Source organism: Homo sapiens, chromosome 14, assembly GCF_000001405.40.
Source record: "Homo sapiens chromosome 14, GRCh38.p14 Primary Assembly".
Lineage (NCBI taxonomy): Eukaryota > Metazoa > Chordata > Mammalia > Primates > Hominidae > Homo > Homo sapiens.
This window is the reverse complement of record NC_000014.9, coordinates 60,082,388-60,102,395: the sequence shown is the minus strand read 5'-3', so window position 1 is coordinate 60,102,395 and position 20,008 is coordinate 60,082,388. Positions and strand designations below refer to the sequence as shown.

General features: G+C 37.7%; 1 protein-coding gene and 1 long non-coding RNA gene across 9 annotated transcripts in view, besides 7 other annotated features; one reads left to right on the top strand and one right to left on the bottom strand.

Moving 5' to 3' along the window:
- PCNX4 (pecanex 4) overlaps positions 1-10,485 on the bottom strand; it is a 56,311-nt gene extending 45,826 nt beyond the window's left edge. For 3 of the 4 annotated variants that reach the window (NM_022495.5, XM_047431699.1, XM_047431700.1), the window contains exon 1: positions 9,977-10,485. The gene's annotated coding sequence lies outside the window, so the exon portion shown is untranslated. The remainder of the gene's footprint in view (positions 1-9,976) is intronic. The other variant, NM_001330177.2, reaches the window with a different exon arrangement.
- Positions 7,404-7,988: an enhancer, noted in NCBI's record as "H3K27ac hESC enhancer chr14:60561126-60561710 (GRCh37/hg19 assembly coordinates)". NCBI's record gives its function as "activates a minimal SCP1, AML or CMV promoter by ChIP-STARR-seq in primed H9 embryonic stem cells {active_cell/tissue: H9 hESC(primed)}" and the evidence as "EXISTENCE:reporter gene assay evidence [ECO:0000049][PMID:30033119]".
- Positions 7,404-8,065: a biological region, named in NCBI's record as "Sharpr-MPRA regulatory region 1153".
- Positions 7,771-8,065: an enhancer, noted in NCBI's record as "tiled region #1153; HepG2 Activating DNase unmatched - State 1:Tss". NCBI's record gives its function as "activates a minimal TATA promoter and a strong SV40 promoter by Sharpr-MPRA in HepG2 cells {active_cell/tissue: HepG2}" and the evidence as "EXISTENCE:reporter gene assay evidence [ECO:0000049][PMID:27701403]".
- Positions 7,771-8,065: a silencer, noted in NCBI's record as "tiled region #1153; K562 Repressive DNase unmatched - State 1:Tss". NCBI's record gives its function as "represses a minimal TATA promoter and a strong SV40 promoter by Sharpr-MPRA in K562 cells {active_cell/tissue: K562}" and the evidence as "EXISTENCE:reporter gene assay evidence [ECO:0000049][PMID:27701403]".
- Positions 9,646-10,279: an enhancer, noted in NCBI's record as "H3K27ac hESC enhancer chr14:60558835-60559468 (GRCh37/hg19 assembly coordinates)". NCBI's record gives its function as "activates a minimal SCP1, AML or CMV promoter by ChIP-STARR-seq in primed H9 embryonic stem cells {active_cell/tissue: H9 hESC(primed)}" and the evidence as "EXISTENCE:reporter gene assay evidence [ECO:0000049][PMID:30033119]".
- Positions 10,243-10,432: an enhancer, noted in NCBI's record as "active region_8466". NCBI's record gives its function as "activates an Ori minimal core promoter by ATAC-STARR-seq in GM12878 lymphoblastoid cells {active_cell/tissue: GM12878}" and the evidence as "EXISTENCE:reporter gene assay evidence [ECO:0000049][PMID:35858748]".
- Positions 10,523-10,652: an enhancer, noted in NCBI's record as "active region_8465". NCBI's record gives its function as "activates an Ori minimal core promoter by ATAC-STARR-seq in GM12878 lymphoblastoid cells {active_cell/tissue: GM12878}" and the evidence as "EXISTENCE:reporter gene assay evidence [ECO:0000049][PMID:35858748]".
- Positions 10,650-20,008, top strand: part of PCNX4-DT (PCNX4 divergent transcript) — a 122,654-nt gene continuing 113,295 nt past the window's right edge. For all 5 annotated transcript variants that reach the window (XR_943918.4, XR_007064198.1, XR_007064199.1 and 2 more), the window contains exon 1: positions 10,650-10,693. This is a non-coding gene — a long non-coding RNA (PCNX4 divergent transcript). The remainder of the gene's footprint in view (positions 10,694-20,008) is intronic.

The window sequence follows — 20,008 nt, the reverse complement described above, 5'->3', positions numbered from 1 at the left end:
ATTTTTGGATTAAATATATATTTCTCTAAGTTCAACAAAAAAATTTTGAGATGTTGTAGTGATTGAAGTTTTTTTAAATCTATCATATTATTTTTATTGATTGGTTGATTTCATTTATTGAATCCCTCTTTTTTCCTGTATTGTTAGGATTTTGATTTTTCATTGTGGTAGGAACACTAACATGAGATCTACTGTTAAACATTTAAGTGTACAATACAGTATTGTCAGCTGCAGGCACAATGTTGTAGAACAGATCTCTAGAACTTGTTCATCCTGCATAATTAAAACTTCATACCTGTTGAATAGCAACTCCCTATTTTCCCTCCCCCCATTCTCTGGCAATCACCATTCTACTCACTGATTTAGAGTTAGTCTATTTTAGATACCTCACATAAGTGGAATGTAGTAGTTGTCCTTCATGTGACTGGCTTACTTCACTTAACATAATGCCTTCAAGGTTCATCTGTTGTTACATATGGCATGGTTTCCTTTTTTTAAGGCTGAATAATAGTCCGTTGTATGTCTATACCACATTTTCTTTAACCATTTATCTGTTGATGGACATTTAAGTTGAATAATGCTGCAATAAACATGGGAGGGCAACTATCACTTTTATCTTGATTTCAATTATTTTGTATAAATACCCAAAAGCAAAATTGCTAGATCATATGGTAGCTCTTTTTTTAATTATTTTTTTTATATTTTGAGAAACCTCCATACTGTTTTGGCATAGATAGTGGCTGCACAATTTTGCATTCCCACCCAGCATACAAGGGTTCCAATTCCTCCATATCCTCACCAACACTCTTTTGTTTTTTTGATAGTAGTCATCATAACAGGTGAGGTGATATTAAGGAGTACTTCTGCACTGAGGCACTTGTCTCAACTATATTTTTGTTGTACTTTCAGGAGACTAATAGATCTGTGGAAATTTATCAAATCTTTGCTCATTTTTTTAACTTCTGAGAGCTCTTCTTTAATCTGAGTGTTCCTTTTTATGAAATTGTTGATGAAAAAAGCCGAACAAGTGTAAAATATTTTAAGAGATTTATTCTGAGCCAAATATGAGTGACCACAGCCCATGACACAGCCCTCAGGAGGTCCTCAGAACATGTGCCCAAGGTGGCTAAGGTACAGCTTAGTTTTATATATTTTAGGGAGGCATAAGACATCAAATACATTTAAGAAACACATTGGTCTGGTTTAGAAAGGTGGGACAACTCAAAGAAGGGGCTTCCAGACTATAGGTAAATTTAAACATTTTCTGGTTGACAATAGGATGAGTTTATCTGAAGACCTGGGATCAACAGAAAAGAAATGTTCAGGTTAAGATAAAGGATTGTGGAGACCAAGTTTCACTGTGCAGAGGAAGCTCTCAGAGAGCAGACTTCAGAGAGCAGGTGGTAAAATATTTCTTATCAGACTTAAAAGGGTACCTGACTGTTAGTTGATTATCTCTTGGATCTGGAAAGGAAGGAAGGAAAACAAAGGGGAAAGGGGACTCATTATAGAATGTGGATTTTTCCCACAAGAGACTTTGCAGGGCAATTTCAAGGTATGGCAAGGAAATATATTTTTGGGTAAAACATTTTTATTTTCTTCCTTGTTATGCCAGAGTCAGATTGGAAAGTCAAGATATACAGGGTTAAATAAAACCCACCTGATGAGAATTTATGATTTGTAGGGCATGACTCTCTAGGCCCCTTAGACAGGAATTTGGGCAAGATTTAACAAATCAGAGCTGAGTCCTCAAAATCCTATTATTGTTTCATGAATATGGTTTAAGAATATTAATTACGGAGGGCACGGTGGCTCATGCCTGTAATCCCAGCACTTTGAGAGGCTGAGGTGGGCAGATCACCTGAGGTCGGGAGTTCAAGACCAGCCTGGCCAACAGGGCAAAACCCCATTTCTACTAAAAATACAAAAGTTAGCCAAGCATGGTGGTGGGTGCCTGTAATCCCAGCTACTTGGGAGGCTGAGGCGGGAGAATCACTTGAACCTGGGAGACAGAGGTTGTAGTGAGCCAAGATGGCGCGATTACACTCCAGCCTAGGTGACAAGAGTGAAACTCCGTCTCAAAAATTAAAAAACAAAATTAATTACAAGTATGTATATATGTTTGGGGGCGTGTGTGTGTGCAGAAAAATGGTATTTTTTTTTTGTAAATTGGCTCATGTCCTTTGCCTATTTTTCTATTGAAGTGATCATTTTTGAACATTTTTCTTACGAATTTGGAAGAACTTTTCATATATGAAGGGCATTAGCTCTTTGACATGACGGTTTTCTTTTCTTCCTGTTACTTTGTCCTTTTCTTTCATTTTCTTTTTTGAGACAGAGTCTCAGTCTGTCACCCAGGCTGGAGTGCAGTAGCATGATCTTGGCTCACTGTAACCTCTGCCTCCTAGGTTCAAGCGATTCTTGTGCCTCAGCCTCCCAAGTAGCCGGGACGAAAGGTATGAGCCACCACCCCTGACTAATTTTTTTTTTCCCCAGTAGAGATAGTGTTTCACTACGTTGGCCAGGCTGGTCTCGAACTCCTAACCTCAAGAGATCTGCCTGCCTCAGCCTCCCAAAGTGCTGGAATTAGGGATTACAGGCATGAGCCACTGCACCTGACCATTACCTTTTTCTTAAAGCACTGTTAGAAGATGCTAGAAAAGATTAAATATTTAAATTTTGATAGTTGTTAAATATAGGCCAAATGTGTTACTCTTCCTTCTATGAAGAAACAGCTAAAAGATAAATTATTACTTCCCACAATTTCAACTTTTAGTTACAAACTTTTGGGTACCTACAATGTGCTCAGTGATAATACTGCTCTCTCTAACCCAAAGGTTACAATCCAGTAAATCTCATTTTCCCTTCAAATAACTGTTTTTGGTAGAAGCAATTCTGGAATTCTTTCAATTTTCATTATTAAGCAAGAAAGATAAAGTTAATTTATAAATAACCTAAACAAAATTAAACTTATCAAGAAAAACTAATTTCTGCTTGTTTAAAAATGATTAGACAAACTTTCAGTAATAAATACAATGTATTCATCCATATTCCTAAAAAGTATTTTACAAAATCTGCAAGGAAATATACCAAAGTTTTACATTTCCAAGCATTACCAAATTTAGTAATTTGGAAAACGGAAAATTTTATACCTGGAAAAGAAAACAAACTGGCCTACACCTAAGTACTCAAAAGCATGATATGAAAGAACTTAATTTTCAGTTGCTCTGGATAAAAATCACTTGCTACTACTAGAGCAATTCTAAAAAGTATGCATACATGAAGTTTTTTTGATAGCCAAGTGCTATCTGTTGAGGGTACCAGTAGGAATCCAGAGATGCAAAGATAGCTACCATTATAATCCGGAAAATACTCTATGGAATCTTAACCGAATGCCATGCCATGGATAGACAGCTAAATTCTGGAGTCTTTTCTTTCTTTTTTTTTTTTTCTTTTTGAGACGGAGTTTCGCTGTTGTTGCCCAGGCTGGAGTACAATGGCATGATCTCGGCTCACTGCAACCTCCGCCTCTCGGGTTCAAGCGATTCTCCTGCCTCAGCCTCCGGAGTAGCTGGGATTACAGGCATGCACCACCACGCTCAGCTAATTTTGTATTTTGAGCAGAGAAGGGGTTTCACCATGTTGACCAGGCTGGTCTTGAACTCCTGAACTCAGGTGATCCACCCGCCTCATCCTCCCAAAGTGCTGGGATTACAGGTGTGAGCCACCGTGCCCAGCAAAAGACTTTTGATGTTTAAACAGAAACATATATTTCATGCTTTGGTTTACAAGTTATATGGTAAGCACCCCGCTCCCCAACCAAAGGAAAGTCTACCCAAGTACTAGAAAAGAAAGACTGAAAAGGAACAAGCACGTTAACATCTCTTTGGATCTATAAAAAGGTATTCACTCAAATTCAAGACTTTTGGAGGGTTTTTGAATAAGAGTGTTTTGTAAGGTCACAGTGTAAGTTAAAGAGGAAAGAAATACAAAGTGGCTCAACAGTCAAAGACAGGTTTGTTTTGGAGAATAAACCTGAGAGAGGCTTCTGGCTGATTTCAGTCAGGAAAGCTCTCTCTTACAGACTTACAGTATTTATTGGTGACAGAACTTATTACAGGTTTGGAATGTTTCTGCATGGGGGAGAAGCTTATGGTAGGGTTGGAATGTCTCTGGTCAGAAGGGAGGTTATCTTGGGGCTGACATCTCTCCAGCCAGGGGGAAGGTTATCTCGGGGCTGGCATGTCTCTGGTCCGGGAGGGGTTTCGAATGTTTCTGGTCAGAGATGTTGTGTGATTTATGTTCATGCTGACCTTAACCATAAGGCTGATGCCCTTTGGATTTTGGTGGGTTTTGATCAAGGTGAAACTTAAAATGATGGTCCTCGTCGAAGTCGAAGAGGGTGATGCTCCTGCTCTGTCAATCCAGACCCTGTAGTTATAAAAATGACGAGGGGCAGTGTGTTCTTTCTGGCTACTTCCTGCTGACAAGGGGACAGACAGTTTTTGGGTCTTGGATTGACTGCAGAAATAACACTGTAGATGTTTTTGGGTAGTTGTGTGTGAAATGGTCATGAGTCTGTCAGCTAAAAATCTTTGAAAAAGGTTAATTAGGCAGGGTAAGAACATTAGTCCTAGGCATATTATTAGGAGAGGGCCCAGGAATGGGGTGACCCATGCTATGATTCTGCTCCCAAACCAAGAATCTGTCTGGTTGTTTTGGTATTCCCTTAGCTTTTTAGACCTTTAAGTTTTTCAGCAGTCTCTTACTAGGCCTGATTGGTTGAGATAGAAACAACATTCCCTACCTAATGAGAGGCAGAGGCACATGTTTGGAAAGGCCCACATATTATCTTTTGTTAGTAACAGTTATTCCTGCTATGAGGATAATAATTAAGCAAAATGCTACAGCAATTGAGATTCCCTGTCAGATATTCCACCCTGAAGGTGCTATAGTATATAGTCCTACTGCAAATAGTAGAGTAAAGCAATTCCCACAAGGCGTAGTAAATAATTTCCATTATATTTAGGACGTTCCTTTGGGCTCTCAGGGGTTGCTTCCTCAGCTTTCCAGGCTTTGACTCAAGTGTGATGTATCCAGGAGTTGATTCCTGTAACAGATATTGTCTCAATTACCCTGGTTCCGTAGACTCACTAGACATGGGGTGAAGGATTCCGGGCACCCTCAGTTATTAGTTGTCAATGCCAGCAGTGAAGAGATTTCCTTCTGTGATGGTTGGGGGGTTTAGAGGCAGCGCCTGATAAAACATCTAGTTTTCAGTTCATAGGACTTTAAGGAAGCACAACTTATTTTAGAAACTTGTAGCCAGAAAAATCAGAATTTAAACTGTAGAAAATACTAAAAATTGGAAAACATGAGGCAAGACTAGAATTTAACAACAGGTGTGCTACAGTTTTTGAAACATAATTTTCTCTCTCCAGTTTCCCACTTATTAAAAGACAAGTCATGGTAGGACTGGTTTGCTTTACTATACTTGGCTTAATTATTTGGATACAGTACAGCAAGAATAATTATTTGTTACACAGGCCTTTTAAATTGGTATTGATTTATCTGGCTCACCCCTTCATTTGGCCAACTCAGCCAAAATGCTTTGTGTTGGGAGCAAAGAAATCACACCAAGGACCTATGTCCAAACAGTACGAGAGATATGGGGTGGATACCTGGAGAACGCTGTGACCACACTATCATATTACAAGACACTGAATGGCTTGCCACCCATTGGGTGCCAATGATCAGTTATTTATTGGCTAGCTCCAAATGGGACATATTGGCTATGTGGCACTAACTTATGGCCGTGGTTACCTCCAGAGTGGTTAGGACAATGTTCCCTATGTTATGCCTGGGCACAAGGACGAGTAATTCAGACCTGCCAAAACCAGCAAACCTTTTTCATTTACAATCTTGTTGGACACATTTGGTATTCTAATGGTATGACCACTTAGCTTCAATCTTTGTACCACAGATAGGTACTGAAGATGTTATATGGCATATAGAGGCTTTAGTGAATTACTCCCAAAAGGTCCTGAATGATAGCTGCATGAGTATTTCCTTGCTAAACAAGGAAGTCATGCTTATGAGGAAAGCTGTGCTGCAAAACCGTATGGCTTTACATAGACTCACGGCAGCACAAGGGAGGACCTGCACCATCATAAAAATGGAATGTTGTGTTTATATTCCAGATGAATTGAAGAACATAATCTGACTTATGACTGATATGAAAACCCAGATATCTGTCACACCCAAAACCTTCGTTAATCAATCAGTTGAGTGGTGGGTTTGGATCCTGGGAAACTTGGTGACAGAAGCTTATTGCTTATATTAGGAATAATAGTTTGTGTTGTGTCCTGTTTCTGCTTACAGTGTTGTTATGGTTATGTGCCTGCAAATATGTCAATGAACTGAAAGGGCTAGGGTAATGATTCCCTAGAGAATTGCTCTAATTGAGAAGGCAGTAATATAGCCTGACCCAGCTTCCAGGTGTGATTTCCTTTTGTTGCTATAAATCTGGCCTAGGTCCCTATATATTTTTTCTTTTTTTTTCCTTTCCTTTTTTACTTCTTTCCTCTTCCTATTTTTTTTTTTTAACCTTCATGGGACATGACCTCTTAGAAATGAGCCTTCCTAGAGACTGGGGACCTGAACTTCTAGGAATAAACCATCCTAGCAATAAGAAAGCAGCTCAAAAAAGGGAGGAAAAACCAACCTGAGGCCAGGAACTCGTCTTCCTTTTAAAATGCTTTCTCCAAAAGATTTTACAGAAAAAAGAAGGGAAATGTGAAAGGAAATTAAATTTTGGGACCCCAAACTCATTTAGCCAAAGGGAAGAAGTCAAGCTGGGAACTGGGTCATGCAAACCTGTCTCCCCCCTTTTGGTTTCTAAATAGGATGGCTACAAGATGAAAAGCTACACACCTCCCCTATATTTTGCCCACAGGGAAATTCCCAGTGAGCTAAAATTTCATCCTGGCAATGTCAATTGACAGCTTACAGGTGCAGTTACCCCTGGCCCACCAGACATAAATGCAAATCTGATTGTTCCCCTACCCCATTTTGTCTGTTATCTTATGTAAAATGCAGATTCCCCTAATATTTTCCTCTGCCCCTTTTATGTCATCTTATGTAAAAAATGCAGATTCACTGAGCCAAAGGCATAAATAACTATTTGCCCCTACCCACCTCTTACATGACAATTGTGTACTTCTCAACATCCTGCCCTTTCCCCTTTAAATTTGGAGACCTCAAAATCATCTTCGAAGAAAGACATAGACTTGCCTCCCGGGCACGTCCTTAACTTTGGCAAATAAATCTCCTAAAATGATTGAGACTTGTCCCATCATTTTTCTCGACTGACACCCACTATAAATTCCCTGGGTTGAAAAACTTTTCTTTTAAAATCAAGTATCAGGTGAATGAAGTCTGCTACTCACATGAATTACTAGAAATAAATTAATTTATTTTACAAAAAAACCTGAGAACCAGTGATATTAAGTGACTTAACCAAGATACAATGTCAGTTAGTGGCAAAATGAGTTTTTGAATCATACCATGCTATTGCTGTTAGGTTTTTTTTAAAGGGAAGGTGGGAGTTAAAGAAAGATGGGGGTGGGGGGGGGCTCTACAGCAACACAAGTATATTGCAAAAACCTGCAGAGGTGGGGGGTGCAGCTTAATGCCAGAGCCCACTGCCGTTCACAGGCTGGGGACTTATAGGTATGGGCAGGAGGGGTCTGGGCTGTCTGGTTTGCTGCCCGGCAGGATATTAAGATGTTCCTATGATCAGGTGGTTTGGCCCTTTGTTCCAGTTGCAGGGTATGATAGGGACGTTCCTTCAGTTGGGCCTTTGCTTAGCAGGGTATGATAAGGATGTTCTTGTGTGTTGTGGTCAGGTGGTTAGGCAGGATGTTTCTCACAGCCCAAACTCGCCTGGAATGTGTCACTTTGACCAAGGTCTGCAAAATGCTGGGGGACTTACAAAATGGTGCAGTTTGGACTAACAACTGCCAAATGAAAGCGAATTTTGTTTTGATGCTAGAGAACTGGAAGGATAACTTGGGGGAATAGGGTTCTTTGGAGAAAAGTGGGTCCAAGAGGAATCTACAAAGTGTAAAAATGGGACGCTTTTGATGGCTAAGCCAGCATGAGGGGGTTGGTATCCAGTACCCTTTCACAAGACAAGTGAGAAACTGTTTAAAAAACAAGGTTCTCACCATCATGAAAGTGAGAACAACCTATAGAATGGAAGAAAATTTGTGCAAATCATATATATATATGACTTATAGCTAGACTATATAAAGAACTCTTACAATTCAATAATGAGAAATCAAATAATCCAATCTTTAAAAAATGAGCAAAGGATATGAACAGACATTTCTCCAAAGATGATATACAAATGGTTAATAAGCACAGAAAATATAAAATGATACTCAACATCATTACTCATTAGAAAAACACAAACTGAAACCATAATGAGGTACCATTTCAAACCTCCTTGACTGGCTAAAATAAAAATGGCAGACAATAATAAGTATTCATGAGACTGTGGAGAAATCAGAACCCTCAAACATATCTGGTGGTTATGTAAAATGATACAGCTCCTTTGGGAAACAGTCTAGCAGTTCCTCAAAAGGCTAAACATAGAGTTACCATATAACCCAGTAATTCTACTCTCAGGTATACACCCAACAGAGATAAAAACATATATGTCTACACAAAAATCTGTACACAAAAGATTCATAGAAGAAATATTACTAACAGCCAAAAAATGAAAACAACCCAAATGTCCATCAATGAATGGATAAATGTGATATATCCACACAATGAAATTAGACTATAAAAAGGAATGAAGTACTCATACATTCTACAACATGGCTGAACCTTGAAAACACACTAAGTGAAAGCCCGTTACAAAAGGCCACATATTGTATTTTCCCGTCTATGTGAAATGTCCAAAATAAGCAAATTTATGGGGACAGAAAACAGATTAGTAATTGCTTATGGCTGGTGGGGTAAGGATAATGGGGGGAGGGAGGTGGTGACTGCTGAGGGTAAAAGGTTTCTTTTTGGGGTGATGAAAATGTTCCAAACTTGACTGTGGTAAGGGTTGCACAATTCTATAAATGGGTGAATTGTATTGAATGTAAATTACATCTCAATAAAGCTCTTAAAAAAGAAAAAGCTTCCCTGATTGGTATTTTCCACAGCAGTTAATAATTAGAAGGCAGCTCTTTAAGTAGGAAATTTAGGAGCAGCCAACAGATGCTACAAACAGTTAAATTCGTGAAAAGGCAACATCTGAACTGGATGCTATGCTAAAGGTCTGGGGATTTGGCGTGAGTGGCGGTGGATACCAAATAACATGAAGGGCAGTCTTTGCCCTAACTGCAGGAATGATTTAATGAAGAAAACAAACACCTAAAAATAGTAAAAAATGAGTAAGTGAAAAATGATGGATACAGAGCAGATAACCAATTCAGCGGCATGGAAAACAACTTCCGATTCACTGGAGTAAATTCTGGTCCTGGAGAGACAAGAGGTTGTGGGGACAGAGGTCGAGATCAGTGGGGAAGGAGCGCTTCACGTTCAGGGGGCCATGAGTTGAACAATTCGGACAAAAGAGGTTTAGTTGGAGATATTGCGAGAGTACAGTTCTACCTAACGGACACAGCTCCGGGTGGGTGTGCCATATTCCATTTCGTACGAGTCTCTTAGAAACAAAATGCTACAATTCAACAGGCTAAAGTAGTCTTTCAAAGGAAAGTTAAAATCACACTGAATTACTATCTCTAATGACTGAGTTCATTAAGCGCAATAATTGCACTTAAAGGTTTTGCAACGAAAAACGAAAAATATGTTTCTTGTGGCAATGAAAGCCCCTAGAACAACTTGGCTCTCCGCACAGGCTTGGACATTAAGATGCCGAAGAAGTCCCGAGGTGGACGTCGGACAACGAACGTACCTCAAGTCACCCGAGGGAAGAGAAGACGCGAAGGCATCCCAGGGACCGCATTTTTGCAGGTAAACTCGGGCTGGGCGCTCCCGCCGGGAGGTTGGTTAGTGCCCGAATGCGGAGGCAGAAAAGCTGCGGCGGCCGAATAACGAGCTCACCGCGGCCCCGCCCGGGCCAGCTCTCGGTTTCCATGGCTAACGTCTACTCCGGCGGCCGCCACCCGGAGCTGAACGGAGCGCGTGCGCGTTCGGGGACCTCGTCGGCGCCTGGCTGGCCTCGCTGCCCCGGTCTGTGCTCGCTCCCGAGGCGGGCCCTGCCGTAAAGCAGGCTTGGCCTAGAGGAAGCAGGGAAATAGCGCGCTTCGTTCGCGCCAGGACTAGGCCAACATCTGCCTGGCCGGGGACGACGGGAGTCGCTCGTGCTCTGGTCTCGCACTGGGCCTAGCAGAAGCAGCAGCGGGGAAAGCCGAGACGCCCTGAACGTTCCCTTGGGCCGGGCCTTTACGCAAGAGCGTCGTTGCCCTGGTGACGTGACGTCCTTCCTCAGGATTGTGCGCCGGGGTGGGGAAACAGACGTGCAACCGCCATTTTGCGCATTAATTTACCAGAGGTCGGGTCAGGCTGTCTTAACGCAGGCAGAGGGGTGTGGCAGATCTCCAACCGCTCGGGGTCCCGTGATTTCCATTAATGAATTCGCACACTGGCGTTACCACTCAACACACCGACGGTAATGAATGTTTTTGAGTGATACTTCATGCAGCCTATTCGGCTTGGACGATTGGGGACTGCATAACGTGATCGCTATCGCCTCAGTTTGTGGCTGCGTTTTAAAATACAAGGAACCAACATGTCCATTATAGAAACGTGTTATTAAGATATTAATAAAACAAGGCAGAGTTCCGGCGTTCCAATTAAAAGGCCATGGCTGATTCATATTAGTGTGGCGGGAATCTTTACAGCCTGGCCGCAAAGACCCCAATTAACGCTAGTTAAAAAGTTATCCCTATACCCAGGGCTCACCTCCCCCATTCTCCACGAAATATGATCCCCCCCCCGCCCCACCAAGTTCTGGACACGTTCCAGATTGCCAACTGGGAGTCCTCAAGACGGCCCCGGAGAGCGTTAACAATGATTGGTCTCAGCTGATTTAGAGGCTCGGGTAAGGGAACTTTGAAGCTAACTTGTCGGTATCAAGGTACCCGCAATTCCCCCATGTGATTGGGTAGATGCCCTAGCAGTTCTGCACACTTCAGCGTCCAAGATGACTTGTGGACTGTTTTGTTTGGATCTCCATTCCTCAAAACTATAAATGCGGCCTTAATTTTTTTTTTTTTTTAATTCTTGGCTCTTGGCTGTCTTGGAAATGCTGACTTTGTATTTAAGTATTTAGGTTTTCAGGTCGTAATAGAAAAATAATTACTGTGTTCATATTAAAAGCCAAAGCTTTATTTATTTATTTTTAAGATATTGTGTCCAGAGCAAAAGTGTAGTGTGTTGAAAGCATGTGGAAGAAAACCCCGGATATACATATACTTGTCTTCAAGGACTTAATTTGCAGGTAGACCCTTTCATAGTTTGGTATCTTCACGATTTGATAGAATATGGGAAAACGTGCTGTTGGTCCATCCATAGTTTTTCTCATTGAAGCTCACTCATTGCGGGTCAGAGTACCACATTAAGCATCTCGGAAGCATCACTTACCGCCAAGAAGTCTGAGTTTCATGTAATTAAGAGTGGAGGCTCCAGAGTCAGGAAGTCTGGGTTGAAACCCTGGCACTACTGCTTACTACTTGTGAGATCTTGAGGTTATGTAATTTCTCTAGTGCTCAGTTTCCCCATATCTTGTAAAATAAGGCAAATAATAGAACTTAACCCGCAGAGAGTTATGTCATTGGATTAAATCAAATAATTGTAAATTGCTTAGCAGAGTAAATGGCACAGCTTAAGTGCTTAGTAAGGATGAGCTATTATCTTTATGTAGAGAGTCTGTATTTATGCTTGTTCTTCTCATGGGCATTACATATGACCCAAGCAGAATTAACATGTTTATTGTTGAAATATCTGCTGTTTTTCAAATATATTTGAACATCGTGCTTTCTTAGAATAAAATTAGTAGGGCATATGGTACAAGCCCTTTGGTTAGCTGTGTATAAAATATTCATTCAACATTTATTGAAATAGTGAAGGGAATAGTGGTTCCTATTTGTCAGGAACTACACTAATTGCTGCAGATATAAAGTCAAATAAAACATGATCCTTAAGGAATTTACCAAAATATAACTTGGACATCAAGGACATAACTTGAACAACAAGGACATCAGTAATTACAGTGTATGTGATAAACAGGTATGCGCTGAGCTTCAGAAACAAAGTGGGACACATAATTCTGGGGAAATTAAGGATGGTTGCAATCCATTTTTAAAGGGTGAGTGGACAGCTGGGCCAGGCGTGGTGGCTCTTGCCTGCAATCCTAGCACTTTGGGAGGCTGAGGTAGGAGGATCGCTTGAGCCTAGGAGTTTGAGGCAACATGGTGAAACCCTGTCTCTACAAAAGATACAAAAAATTAGCCAGGTGTGGTTGTGTGCGCCTGTGGTCCCAGCTACTCAGAGGCTGAGGTAAGAGGTTGTTGCAGTGAGCCGAAATTGCACCACTGCACTCCAGCCTGGACAACAGAGTGAGATCTTGTCTCAAAAAAAAAAAAACAAAACAAAAACAAAAACAGAGTTAGCTGGGAGAAGAGGTATTCCAGGTAGGGGAACATTTATTCTTTAATTCATTCAACACATACTTAGAGCATACATAGAATCAGTACTTTGTGTACCTCATTTAATCTTAACCTTATGAGGTAGCTTATTATTATTTCAAATGTAAGGAATCTGAGCTTGAGAAAAGTAAAATAAGTGATGACATCTGGAGTTGAGTCCGTATCTGTATGTCTTCAAGATTCGTGTATTTTTTCCTACCCTGCTGATTCACATAAAATGAAACAAATTGTGAAAAATCTGGAACTGCTGCTTCAGCCAGAGAAGATGTTTAGCCAGGCATTATCATGACATACGTGTTATTGTGTAATGGTAATGCCCGTTTTCAGTTCATACCCAAGTTAACTTCTCTTGCTAAAAAGTAAAACAAAAGCAAAACCCACACCATAAACCCTCACTCTGCCTTGTTCCCAGAGACCACTGGCCAGAAGTCTCTGAAAATAATGCAGAGCTGCAGCACTAGGTATGGGCCAAAGAGAAGGCAAAATCATGCTCACAGTTCCGGGTGCCTTTAAAGAAACACAGGAGGAATAATAGCTTTGGGAAGAAAGATAATGAATCTACTTTGAGACCTGTGTGTAAGGGGCTGATGCGATATTCAGGTGCCTATGCCCAGTTGGAAATACAGAATTGGACCTATATTACATATTGACCTTGGGAGAGAAGTTAAGATGTAGAATATTCAATAATTTTTTTTAAAAGATTGTTGAAGTAATAAGATTGGAAAAGAATGTCAAGGTTTATATCTTAATGGGACAAGAAGAAAACCGAAGAAGAAAAGGACTATAAAATAAAAAGATTGACTTATATGGCTTATTGAAAGTCACTGTATCATAGATCATGATATGCATCAAACATCATGTGAAAGGACATGTGATGAGTAGAAATTTTAGAGTGTCTGAGCATGTTCGTGAGATTTGGGTTGGGCAAGTTATGAGTTATGAGAATATTAAAGACAGGACGTGCCCAATAGTTAATTACAGTGTTTCATATTGAAACTTTCTTTAATATAGAAACTTTCATATCCCATAAACAATCATAAATAGAACCATCAAATAAACAATATATAATGTAATCATAGCTTTGCGATTGGTTGGTCTCAAGCTTTACTCTAAGATACAATATATTTCTTTTAAATTGCAGTTCTGAAAAATTTACAGTAATTACTGATGGGGAGTGTATGATAAAAGAATAGTTTCAAATTTTGGTTATGATAAAGAATTTTTAGTTTTCTTGTATAGCTCTTAAATTTCACTATTATTCCACAGCAATAACTTCACAGATGAGACTTTATTTTAGAGGTGTTCCAGTTGATATTATTTTGGAACATTGTAACTACTGGAAACTTATTTTGGATAATTGTTTAAAAAAACACAGGTGTTTAAGAAAGAACACAGTAGAATTATTAGTAGACTGGAAATCAGTAAATTGGAATATTTAAAAAGCTAGACTTTAATTTTTTAAATTATGTTACATTTTGTAAAAATTTTAACTTCACTGAAAGATCAAATTTTAATGGTAACAAAACTGTAAACATCTGTCATGCCAGACCCCATTCACTTCAGTATGGATGGCACCAGGTTCAAGAGGCCAAATAGAGACCCAGAGCCAGCAAATGAGATATATAGGGTTTATTGAAGGGAACTTACATACAGAGCACTACAGTGGCAGTGGGCTGGACAGAAGTGCAACCAAGTGCAGAAAGCATGCAGTTTAGATAGCGTTTGCACTTAACACCCTCCCCCTAGCAATCTCCATCTGGCAACCTTCCTTTAACCCAAAACAAAGGGCCTCAATCTCCTGTATGGCCCAGGTCCCATAGGATGGGATGGGGCTCAGATGTTCTCATAGATAAGGATGAATCTCTGGGCTGGCCATGCTGGGAAGACCAAACCTACACTGAGGTGTGTCTGCCATATGGGGTCATTCTCAGGACATGCTTACGTTTTGTTGTCTGGTGTGTCTGCCAAACACCAACCACAGGCGTACTTAACAATTTGATTCTACAAAAATTAAATTACACACATCTGAATTAAGTACAATGATTCTCCTTTATTTTTGCAAACATTATTGATAGTTGATGATGCAGATTTCATAGTCTTTTTCCCAGCATTTTACACTAGATTGGAGCATCAGTTAACCTGCTGACAGTGACCAAGGATATGATGCCTTATTAATTTCTAAAGCTATAACTGAAGTTAGCAACCTCAAGTAGATGCCCCTTTCCTGGCATTTGCCTGCCAAGTTCTCTGTTTATAAATGTACTAACCATTTAGAATTTTGTGAATATTATCTTCACTTTCCTTTAGAATGAATATATAAATGGAAGTGCCATGTGCAAGTTAACTGAGAGAATTTCTACTGGGTAGGATAGTTGTGATTACATAAGAGTAGGGGGGAAAAGTTAGGTGTAATTTGCCTAATGTTGGAGGAAACCCTGTTGACCCCCCTGCAATCCTTCCAGCCTTATTGTACTGTTGAGTGGAAAAGTCCACATTTGTTACAATTACTTCCTGCAGTTTACACTGTGATGCTCTCTTTAGGTTAATATATTTTAAAACACAAAAACTAGAGGTTACTCATATTAAATAATTATTAATGGGAAATGAAACCACATTTAGCAAATAACAGTTTATGCATAAAATAACAAAAACCAATTTTGGTGGGATGGTAGATTAGAGGAACATTTTTGAAACTTAGCTTGGCTGTGTTTAACAAAATTTAAAATGGAGTTCCCCTTGACGCAGGATTTCATTTAAGTTTATTGAACCTATTCCTTATTGAAGACTGTTTTGTGTTTTTGCTACTACAGGTGTTTGTACTAGAAAATTTGTAATATCAAAGAAGCACAAAACAGTCTTCAATAGGGGACTGGTTAAATAGATTATATAAAAAGGAGATATATCAGCATGTACACCTATGCAAAGATGTCCAACTTATGTTAATTAAAACAATTAAAAATTATGATTTGCATGGTATGATTTTATGTTAAACTGAATGTAAGCATGAGCATGTTTTATATATGCATATTTCTGAAAGACACATAAGAAACAGCAGATCTTAACCTCAAGAGATTAACTGGGATTTGACCGGAAGGGGAACTTTCACTTTTTACCTTATACTCTTTTGTGCTGTTAATACATTTTTAAAATAATATATATTATTTTATAATCTTTAAATAATAAAAAAATAAAAACAAAAACATTAAATTGGCTGCAATACTCCTACCCTCCAAAAAATTCACCAAGCCATTAAGTGATTTAGCCACTGTATAGCCAGTATAGAGGTGTAGTGGATTTTTGTTTTTATAGTAGTACCTTTATCCAGAATATATTTGGAAAAATTGTTTTTCTGAATAAAGAAATTAAAGTATTGATGCTTTCATAGGAAGAGAAGGGCCATATTATTTTTTAGAGTTGTATTACAGTTGAAAATTACTGTGATTTGTTTGGTATATTGGTAAATTTTGAGCTTTGATAATCAGACAGTAGGATACTAGACCACTGCAGTATTAGATTAATAGGTCATCTTTTGAAATCTTTAAAATTAGTTCATTTTATATAGTAAATGAGAACATTTACTGAATTTATGTATACATTCTGAAGCTTATTTGATTTTTTCAAATGCATGTAAAATATAAATTTTAGCATATGTGTAAAAATATATTAGTGTATATATACAGATATTTATGTATACAAAAATTTGTACATATGTAAAGTATATGTTATATATAACATGCAAAATAAAATACGCTGTGTTTTGTCGAATCAGCAATGACTAAGTATTACTGTAGGAAATTTTTAGGTGTTGTTTGTTTTTAACAGTATAGTTTTAAAGTGTAATGATTTTAATAACATTTATGCTGGTACTTTAAAATATTTTCATTTTACCAGAGCTGTGTTTTAGACTCTTAGTTTAAATTAAAACCAATATATAGAAATAAATATTAGAATAATTATTAATCCCACGGAATTTTTAAAATTCTGTTATTTATGAATCCCAAGCCAAATATCTGATTCATGTTTTTATTACACAGCAGTTTTACTCCTACAAGACTTTGTAATTGGTAGAAAATTCATACACCTTTAAAGAGCAGTATGCACAAAAGAGATGCATATACTTGTAGAGATAACCATGTAGTAAGAAACAATGGATTGTTTTTATTTGTGGCTTTTATATAAAACTAGCCTATGCATTATTTTCCCTGTGAATTTTTTCCCTGATAATTTTTCTCCTGGCATCAAAATAATGAAAATAATAAAATTTTAGAGGCAAGCTTTAAGAGCATGTATGCCCTGCCTAATACAGCTAACAAAACCAAAAAACTTACTCATACTATGTACTGCAAAAATTCAGTGACAGTTTTTTTATTCTGAGTGGTCAAATTCATGTAGAAACATACACCCTGAATTGCACAATTCAGTATCCCTGGGCAACTTGTTTCTGTATCATTCATATTCCCAAATGTACTCTGGGCTATAACAGTAGGCTGTGAAAACCTAAAACTTATATTTACTCTTATGAGAAGACTTCCTTTATTTATGTTTGCCTTCTTTCCCCAATGTACAGATTCTTTAAAAATATAGTACATCTTAAAAGTACTAACCTGAATATAGTGTGGATTCTTCTAGAATTTTTATTCCATTTCTCCTGATGCACAGAACGAATAGCATTTGCTTTATGAGTCAGTAAACAATCTTTAAGAACCAGGAGGGCCTGAAGCCCATTTCCCCTCCTTTTGATTATATCCCAAATACTGCATCCACTGATGCCTCCTTCCAAAGACAATGGAATGATTCCTTCCTTTCAGAAGCAAAAGCAGCCCTACCTGAGAACACTCTGAAATATGTTGTCCTCTTTGCAAGATCTCCATTTACTAGACCAGTTATTTTCCTCATTCCTCGTCAAAGCATGAACTCAACAACTGATTAAGAAAACAGTGTTCTTAGTGTGAAAGAAAAAGATAATGATGTTCATAAGGTGATGGAAAGCATATTTAACAAGAAATAATGAGATCTGAATTACCATTTGAGCTCTGCAAGAAACTTGATAATTTTATGTTGGGCAAGTCAATCTCTAGGTTTCCGTTTTCTCCTCAGTAATATTAAGGATCGGGCTGTCTCTAAATTTTCATGTAAGTGTATATTTCTACTTCTATATTATTTTTCTGTTAGTTTTATCATGCTATTTGTGGAAATAAAGATAGTCTATACAATTTTATTTTTTATGCAAATACATTTTTTAAAGTGCATAAATTTTTTAAATAACAAACTTAAGAGTGAGCTTTATGCTAAGCAGACCTAAGCAAACATGGTTATCATTAGAAAACGAACTCTCTTTACTTCAGTATTGACCACTTTTCTTGGGACAGTGATTTCTGTGAATATTAGCATCCAGTAATGTGTCACGTTAATCAGTATTCATTAAGTACCAACAGTTTGCCTTCTGAGGGCTCTTTCTTTAAGGTCAGTTAAGTAAAAATGTTAAAGCCAGTTATTATGAGGATTTCTGCCATGTAATAGTCAAATTATTTTATACTTAGCCTCTTTTTGATTAAAAGTAGTAGTCAACGTTGTTGAAGCCCTCAAAGGTGATTTTGAACATGAAGTGCTGGAGCTACCCAGGCAGCAATCAGAAACAATTAGGAAAAATGTACCAAATGCTTCGTTCTTTTCTCTAGGCTGCATGGCAAATTACATTTAATATTTCAGGCTTGTTGCATTTTAAAATAAGGCCTCCTGACTAAGCAATTTTCAAGACAACTCCCATCAAAAGATATTGCTTAAAATTTTCTTATTGCTATAGAAATGAAAAGAGTGATTGTCTATGTTGATTAGCCTTGAAGATTGCTTTGGGGAAAATTTGATAATTCTAGTACCATTACCATTATAATTTACAATCTGTAAAGAATTGAATACTACATTGACTACCAGGATAGTTTAAGCCTTCCTTTCTATCTGCTAATTTTATTCTTCTACCTTAACATAAAGAAATCCTTGTAATATGTATTTAATGCATATATGATTTATTTTTATCATGATTCTTGAAAATTATTCTCAATTAGATCAAACAAAAATCAACTGTAGAGCATAATAAATATGCCTGAAATATTTATTGATGCCTACTATGTGCCAAATTTTGTGCTAACCAATTTGGCAGATAGAGATGAAAAAGAAAGATTTAACTTCAAAGAGCTTTCATCTTAATGGGTAGAAAATTCACAATAAAAAGAAATGAACAAAATAAGAAAAATTTAGAACCAATTGCGTTTCAGTTATGATGAGTTGAGTGTGGCTGATACAATTTCATTTTCTTATACCAAATGCTAAATAGAGGTTATAGTTACCTGATATGGCAAAACCTGGCAAGTTAGGAAAGTGCTCCCATAATAATATTTTTGTGTTTAGAAAGAAAAATTATAATAGAATGAAATTACATTACACTTGGCAATGTATAGAAAAATGTTTAAATACCAAGAAAGACCTTTATGCTGGCAAGGAGATTCATTTTTTATGGACCTTCTGATTCAATGGCCAAGTTTTTAATTATTTTAAACAGTTTTAAAATAGCCTAAAATGTACCAGCTGTCTTAAACTAGCAAACAAAATAAGATTCAGTGATATTGAGGTTTCAGTAAAATGGCATTCTCATTTATTCACTCATGAACTCAATTAGTGAACATTTATAGATGATAGACAATTTGTTAGAGGACTAGTGATGAACGAGTACCAGTACCTCTCGTTATGGGCCCCACTGGTGAGAGTGCTGAGGTAATACAAATATATATGATCACTTTGAAAATAAATTTAATCATATTGGCAACTCTAAAAATGTGCATACTTTTAACTGATTAATACTTTTCTGTGCAAAGGATTCAAAAGAAGTAAAGATTTATGTACATATGTATTTATTGCATATTTCTAATACTGGAAAATTGGAAGCAACTTGAATGTTCAATGATTAAGAAAATTATAGTATTTCCCCTTGGTTGACTATAACATAAACATTAGGATGATAATTATAATAGCTTTGTAATGCCATGGAAAATGCTTAGATATATAATATGAAGAAAATCAAAAATATATAAACTTAAAATTCTGTGAAAATATACAAATGAGAAAACTTAGAATTTTACAAAATGATAGTTGTATTCGCATGGAGGTGTTCCAGATGATCATCTCATTGTGTTTTTGAAATATCATGTACTATTTAACAATGGTTAATAAAATATTTTAATATATAAAAGTCCTGAATAGCATACAACCTTTATGCATTGCTG